This window comes from Homo sapiens, chromosome 16 (genome assembly GCF_000001405.40).
Source record: "Homo sapiens chromosome 16, GRCh38.p14 Primary Assembly".
Classification (NCBI taxonomy): domain Eukaryota; kingdom Metazoa; phylum Chordata; class Mammalia; order Primates; family Hominidae; genus Homo; species Homo sapiens.
In genome coordinates, this window is record NC_000016.10 from 10,363,940 (window position 1) to 10,372,163 (window position 8,224).

Here is an 8,224-nt window from a genome sequence, read left to right on the forward strand (position 1 = left end):
AATCAGTGTACTCAAGTTAAAAGCTAAGTTCTTGCTCACATACACAGAAAACAAAGGAAATTAACAGGATTATGTTTTCTTTTCTTTTTATTTTTTTTTGAGATGGAGTTTTTTGCTCTTGTCGCCCAGGCTGGAGTGCAAAAGCATGATCTCAGCTCACTGCAACCTTCACCTCCCAGATTCAAGGAGTAGCTGGGATTACAGGTGCCCATGACCATGCCTGACTAATTTTTGTATTTTTAGTAGAGACGGGATTTCACCATGTTGGCCAGGCTGGTCTCGAACTCCTGACCTCATGATCTGCCCGTCTCAGCCTCCCAAAGTGCTGGGATTACAGGAGTGAGCCACCAAGCCTGGTCTGAGGATTATAAAGTTTTCTATACAAGACTAATTTAACAATTTAATCTGTTAGAGATTGTATTCCTTTTTTTTTTTTTTTTTTTTTTTTTTAAGATAGAGTTTCAACCTTGTTGCCCAGGCTAGAGTGCAGTGGCGTGATCTCAGCTCACCGCAACCTCCACCTCCTGGGTTCAAGCAATTCTCCTGCCTCAGCTTCCTGAGCAGCTGGGATCACAGGCGTGTGCCACAACACCCGGCTAATTTTTGTATTTTTAGTAAAGATGGGGTTTCTCCATGTTGGTCAGGCTGGTCTCCCAACTCCTGACCTCAGGTGATCTGCCCGCCTCAGCTTCCCAAAGTGTTGGGATTACAGGCATGAGCCACCGCCCCTGGCCACTACAGTTTGTAATCTTGACCTTAGGGTTTGTTTTCTTACAGCTGGTGTTCATTTCCTTTCCAATTTATTTATTTATTGAGATGGAGTTTCTCTATTGTCACCCAGTCTGGAGTGTGATGGCATGATCTCGGCTCACTGCAAGCTCTGCCTTCCGGGTTCAAGCAATGCTCCTGCCTCAGCCTCCCAAGTAGCTGGGATTACAGGTGCCAACCACCACATCCAGCTAATTTTTGTATTTTTAGTAGAGATGGGATTTCACCATGTTGGCCAGGCTGGTCTCAAACTCCTGACCTCAGGTGATCTGCCTGCCACGGCCTCCCAAAGTGCTGGGATTACAGGCATAAGCCACTGCACCCGACAGCTTGTTTGTTTGTTTATTTATTTAAATTCTTATTTTTTGTTTAGAGATAGGTCTTGCAGGCCAGGCACAGTGTGATCTCAGCACTTTGGGAGGCCAACGTGGGCGAATCACAAGGTCAAGAGTTTGAGACCAGCTTGGCCGACATGGTGAAACCCATCTCTGCTAAAAATACAAAAATTAGCCAGCTGTTGTGGCGTGTGTCTGTGATCCCAGCTTCTCGGGAGGCTGAGGCAGGAGAATTGTTTGAACCTGGTTGGTGGAGGTTGTGGTAAGCTGAGATCATGCCACTGCACTCCAGCCTGGGCAACAGAGCAAGACTATCTCAGGAAAAAAAAAAGGGATGAGTCTTGCTCTGTCACCCAGACTAGAGTACAGTGGCTTGATCATAGCTCACTGCAGCCTCAAACTTCTAGGGTCAAGCGATCCTCCCACCTCAGCCTCCCAAGTATCTAGGACCACAGGCATGTGCCACTATAAGTGTCGAATTAAAAAAAAAAAACATTTTGTAGGACAAGGACAAGGTCTTGCTATGTTGCCAGGCTGATCTTGAACTCCATGCTTCAAGGAATTCTTGCTCTCAACCTCCCAAAATGCTGGGATTACAGGCATGAGCCACCATACCTGGCCCTACATACGTTTGTTTCATGTAAAAAATATTTTATTATGTAAGAGTCAAATTATGTATTTTCTTTTCTGAATTAGTTATCCATTGCTATGCAACAACCCCAAAACTTCAAACAAAAACCACTTAGCGTCTCACAGTTTCTGTGTATCAGGAATGCAGGTACAGCTTAGGTGGGTGCTTCTCAAGATTGTGCAGGGGGTTCCAGTCGAGCTGTCAACTGTAGTCAGCTCAAGACAATTGGCCAGGCACAATGGCTCGCTCCTGTAATCCCAGCACTTTTGGAGGCCAAGGTGGCCATATCACCTGAGGTCAGGAGTTCGAAACCAGCTGGCCAACATGGTGAAACCCTGTCTCTACTAAAAATACAAAAAATTAGCCGGGCGTAGTGGCGGGCGCCTGTAGTCCCAGCTACTTGGGAGGCTGAGGCAGGAGAATGGCGTGAACCCGGGAGGCGGAGCTTGCAGTGAGCCGAGATCCCGCCACTGCACTCCAGCCTGGGCAACAAAGCGAGACTCCGTCTCAAAAAAAAAAAAAAAAAAAAAAAAAAAAAAAAAAATTAGCTGGGCGTGGTGGCACATGCCTGTAATCGCAGCTACTGGGGAGGCTAAGGCAGAAGCATCACTTGAACCCGGGAGGTGGAGGCTGCATTGAGCCATGATTGCGCCACTGCATTCCAACCTGGGTGACAGAGCAAGACTCTGCCTGAAAATAAATAAATAAATAAACAAACAAACAAATAAATAAATAAATAAAAAGACTCTACTGCGCCTGAGGATCCACTTCCAAGCTCACTCACATGGTTGTTGGGCAGCAATTTCTCATGGTGAGCCTTTTTATAGGAAGGCTTACAGGTTTCCAAGAGAACCAGGGAAGGTTCCCAAGACAGAAGTCACAGACTTGCTGTAACCTAATCTCAGAAATGACATCTGATCATTCCTGCCATATTCTATTTGTTAAAAGCAGTTCAAGGCTGGGTGCGGTGGCTCACACCTGTAATCCCAGCCCTTTGGGAGGCCAAGGCAGGCAGATCACCTGAGGTCAGGAGTTTGAGACCAGCCTGACCAATATGGAGAAACCGTCTCTCTGCTAAAAACAAAATGGCCGGCTAATGCCTGTAATCTCAGCTACTCAGGAGGCTAAGGCAGGAGAATCAATTGAACCTTGGAGGCGGAGGTTGCGGTGAGCCGAGATTGCAACATTGCACTCCAGCCTGGGCAACAAGAGCGAAACTCCATCTCAAAAAAAAAAAAAAAAAAAAGGCAGTTCAAGTTCAACCCATACTCAGTAAGAGGGGAATTAAAAAGGTATGACTCCCAAGTGGGGATCACTGGGAGTCATCTTAGAAGCTATGGACGTTACCCCCAAAGTCTTCAAGTAAAGTTAACCTTTCATAAAAATGAAATGTGTTTGTGGTTTGGCTAGGAATTTCCCTTGACCTGGCACTGCATATTACTGCATATTCCTACATATTCCAGTTTGAGAAGCCCAGTTTATGCCACATGAGTAAAAAAGCCATCTCGACATCCAATATTTATTCTGGCAGAGACTAAGAAACTGAGCAATAGGCTGGGAGCGGTGGCTCACGCCTGTAATCCCAGCACTTTGGGAGGCCGAGGCGGGCGGATCACGAGGTCAGGAGATTGAGACCCTCCTGGCTAACATGGTGAAACCCCGTCTCTACTAAAAATACAAAAAATTAGCTGGGCATGGTGGCGGGCGCCTGTAGACCCAGCTACTCAGGAGGCTGAAGCAGGAGAATGGCGTAAACCTGGGAGGCAGAGCTTGCAGTGAGCCGAGATCGTGCCACTGCACTCCAGCTTGGGGGACAAAGCGAGACTCCATCTCAAAAAAAAAAAAGAAAGAAAGAAAGAAACTGAGCAATAGTTCTAAATGCTGGCTGCATATTAGATCTAGCTGAAGAGCTTCTAAAAAAAATGCTGGCTGGTCACTGTAGCTCACGCCTGTAATTCCAACAGTTTGGGAGGCCAAGAAGAGAGGATTACTTGAGGCCAGGAGTTTGAGATCAGCCTAAGCAACATAGCAAGACTCCATCTCTACAAAAAATAAAAATTAGCTGAGGGTGGTGGCATGTGCCTATAGTCCCAGCTACTCATGAAGCTGAGGCCAGAAGATCAGAAGATCACTTCAGCCAAGGAGGTTGAAGCTACAATGAGCTATGATTGCACAACTGCATTCCAGCCTGGGTCACAGAGCAAGGCCCTGTCGCAAACAAACAAAAAAAAAATTAAATTAAAAAATAAATAAAAATCCCAGCTGGGTGCAGTGGCTCATGCTCATAATCCCAGCACCTTAGGAGGCCAAGGAAGGAGGATTGCTTGAGGCCAGGAGTTTAAGACCAGCCTGGACAGTGCCGTGTGACCTCATCTCTAAAAATTCCCAATACGCAGATCCCCACCCGGACCAATAAAATCTGAATATCTAGTATATAGAACAGATTAGGTGATTACAAATAACTGAACAGCTTTGTTGAGGTATAACTGACATACATTAAACTGGATTTGGTGATCTTTTATTTTTGTTTTTGCTTTTCTTGAATTGTGTAATTTTAATCTGCAGTCTGAATAGAAAGCCTCTGATCTTGAAGCAGAAAAAGACAAGTTATCCTATTATTATTATGATTTGTCTTTCATTCCATCCATATGATAACAGAATCCTGGAGAAGTGATAAAAGGTGGAAAGAAGATAAAGGGAAATGGAAACAACAAGGAAAAGAACAAAATCTATTTGAGGTGTAATCATAATATAATAGAGGGAGTTAAACAGTGCTTCTCAAACTATCTTCAGTGAAAGATCAGTTGGGTTTTTTCCCCCAACCCTTTGCAAACACACTACTTTTGTAAAATACAATAACATTTTCTTAGCAATGTTAAATTGCTACTTAGATGCCAAACTCTTATTGTCCCTTTCTGTACTTGTCTCAAAGCAAACCAGTAACAAAGCAAACCAGATTGGTGCAAGTCTGCAGACCTCACACTGACTAACACTATCTATCCAATCACTGGCTCAATTATTACTTGGTCCTTACTTCAGTGTTGACAAAAAGACTCTTAAGATGTGTCTGACACCAGTTTACGTAGCTTAAGGTTACAGGTTAATAGTTATCTCATGAGACATCACAACTTCTCAGGTACAGCTTCTAGGTGATTTTACCATATGGGGAATGTTTAATTGCACGAGATAGGGTTGAAGAAGATGCAGACTTACTTTCAATTCAGGAAGGTTTCCCCCCTTCCATTACTTACTTTTTACCCCTAAAAAGCAGTTTTCATTGAAATATGATATTTTATTGGTTAGCTTTTGCCCCATGTAACAAGCCAGCCCAAAACTTACTGGTTTGAAACTACAAACATGTATTAGCTCAAAGTTAGTCAGGCTAGCAATCTGGGAAGGACTCAGCTATGTTGAGCATGGGCTTAATTATTTATTCTTCGTTGCACATGTTCAAATACCAGGACACTTGACTGGGCAGGGTGAAATGGCTGGGATAATTGAAGCTTCTCTCCGCATGATCTCTCTTTCTCCAGCAAGCTAGCCTGGACTTGTCCACATGGTGGCAGAACTCCCAAGAGTGGCAAGAGAGAACAAGTCCCACTGCAGAAGCATCTTTCAGGGACCTGCTACATTGTTACCACCTGAGTGGGTTCTTGCCCACTGCCCATAGAGCCAACACTGAGACAGCAGTTGTTGCTGTAAAGAAAGAGTTTAATTATTGTGAGACAACTGAGTGGGAGAACAAGAGATATTTCTCAAAGCCACCTCCCTGAGAATTCAGAGGTTAGGATATTTTTGTTTTTTGTTGTTCTTTTTTTTGTTTGTTTGTTTTTGTTTTTGTTTTTGTTTTTTGAGATGGAGTCTTGCTCCTTTGCCCATGCTGGAGTGCAGTGGTACAATCTTGGTTCATTGCAATCTCTGCCTCCTGGATTCAAGTGATTCTCCCACCTCAGCCTCCCAAGTAGCTGGATTACAGGTGCCCATCACCATGCCCAGCTAATTTTGTATTTTTAGTAGAGACAGGATTTCACCATGTGGGCCAGACTGGTCTCAAACTTGTAATCTCAAGTGATCCACCCACCTTGGCCTCCCAAAGTTCTAGGATTACAGGCATGAGCCACTGAACCCAGCCAGTGGCTAGGATTTTTTAAAGGATAGTTTGGTGGGCAGGTGTGTTAGTCCATTTACACACTGCTATAAAGAACTGCTCAAGACTGGGTAATTTATAAAGAAAAGAGGTTTAATTGACTTGCAGTTCCACATGGCTGGGGAGGCCTTAGAACATACAATTATAACAGAAGGAAAAGCAGGCATGTCTTACATGGCAGCAGGCAAGAGAGTATGTAAGAGCACAGGAAAAACAACCATTTATAAAACCATCAGATCTCATGAGAATTCACTCACTAATACGAGAACAGCATGGAGGAACCACCCCCATAATCTAATCACTTCCCTCCCTTGACACGTGGGAATTACAATTCGAGGTGAGATTTGCATGGGAACACAGAGCCAAACCATATCAGCAGGGGTCCAGAGAATGGGTTCTGCTGATTGATTAGGGATGAAATCATAGCAGTGTCTAAGCTGTCTTCATGAGCTGAGTCAGTCCTTGCAAAATAGGGGAGTCACACGACCAGTCAAGTCAGTTCCTTGGCTGGGGACATGGGCCACTGACCCACATGGTGTCAGCTGGTCCTCTTGCAGGTAAAGCCTGAAAAATATCCCAAAGACCAGTCTTAAGTTTTACAGTAGTGTTTGTGACTGCCAGTTACTATGGAAAGCAAGCTGAGAAACAATGGCAGGTTATCATTTAACTATGCCAGTAGCTTAGTAGAAAAGTTTGTGGGAGGTGAGATTTCTGGTGGTCAAAGCCACCTGGCAGCTCCCTTGACAAGTCTAACATCTGGAAGCCATCTAGGAGGTCTGCGTGATTTAAGAATTGTTGTTTAATAAAAAAGAAAGTTCATTAACCTTTTGGTCAGCCTGCCTTGGGGCTAGGACAGGAAGATAATCAATTATTAGTGACTACCACTTATTGAAATGACTATGTGCAGGCAATCATGAATGGAGGAGGAAAAGGTCAGAGAGAAGGGAAAATATCTTTTTCATTTATTTGAGACAGGGTCTTGCTCAAGTCCAGACTGGAGTGCAGTGATGAGATCATAGCTCACTGCAGCCACAACCTCCAAGGTTTCAGTGATTCTCCCGCCTCAGCCTCCTGAGTAGCCGGGACTACAGCCATGTACCACTAATATTTTTTCCCTTTTTTTGTAGAAATGGGGTCTCATTGTTGCCTAGGCTGGTCTCAAAATCCTGGGCTCAAATGACCCTCCCTCCTCAGCCTCCCGAAGTGCCGGCATTACAAGCGTGAGCCACTGTGCCTGACCAAATTTTTAATATATTTTTGTAGAGAGAGAGTCTCACTATGTTGCCCAGGCTGGTCTTCAGTTCTTGGCCTCAAACTATCCTCTTGCCTCAGCCTTCCAAAGTGCTGAAATTACAGGTGTGAGCCACAATGTCTGGCCCATATTCTGGTTATACCCTATTATTGATGGGCATTTGGGACACGTTCAGTTTCGGGTTATTACACATAGTGCTGCTATGCACATTCTGGTATATGTCATTTGGTTATACACACATAGGCATTTCTGTTGTTACAAACTTAGGAGTAGAATGGCTGGGCACAGTGGCTCACGCCCGTAATCCCAACACTTTGGGAGGCCAAGGCGGGCAGATCACAAGGTCAGGAGTTTGAGACCAGCCTGGCCAATATGGTGAAACCCCATCTCTACTAAAAATCCAAAACAAAATTAGCCGGGCATGGTGGCGGGCACCTGTAGTTCCAGCTACTCAAGAGGCTGAAGCAGGAGAATCGCTTGAACCCAGGAGGTTGCAGTGAGCTGAGATCGTGCCACTGCTCTCCAGCCTGGGTGACAGAACGAGACTCCATCTCAAAAACAACAACAACAACAACAACAAAACAAAACAAAACAAAAACTAGGAGTAGAATTGGTGGGGCATGAGGCATTGCTGTATTCAAATTTAGTAGATATTGTCAAAGTTTTGACAATACAAACTGTACAATACACCTGGACTTTGTACAATTGGTACAAAGTCAAATTGTACCAATTGCACTCATATCAGCAGCACATGAGAGTCCTTGGTGTTGCATATTCTCTCCAACACTTGATATTTTTGACCTTGTCATTTTAGCCTATCTAGTAGGTATGTAGTGGATCACACTATGGTTGTAATTTGCATTTTCCTAATTCATATGGTTGAACATTTTTGTATTGTTTATCGGCCATTTGGATATCCTCATTTGTAAAGTGTCTGTTCAAAATATGTGTGCTCATTTTTTTTTTTTTTGGTTGGGTTGCCTATCACTTTTAGTGATTTGTAGGTGTTCTTTATATATTGTGGATATAAATCTACTTTGGGATATATAAATTGCGAATATTTACTCCCCTTCTGTGGACTACTTTTTTAT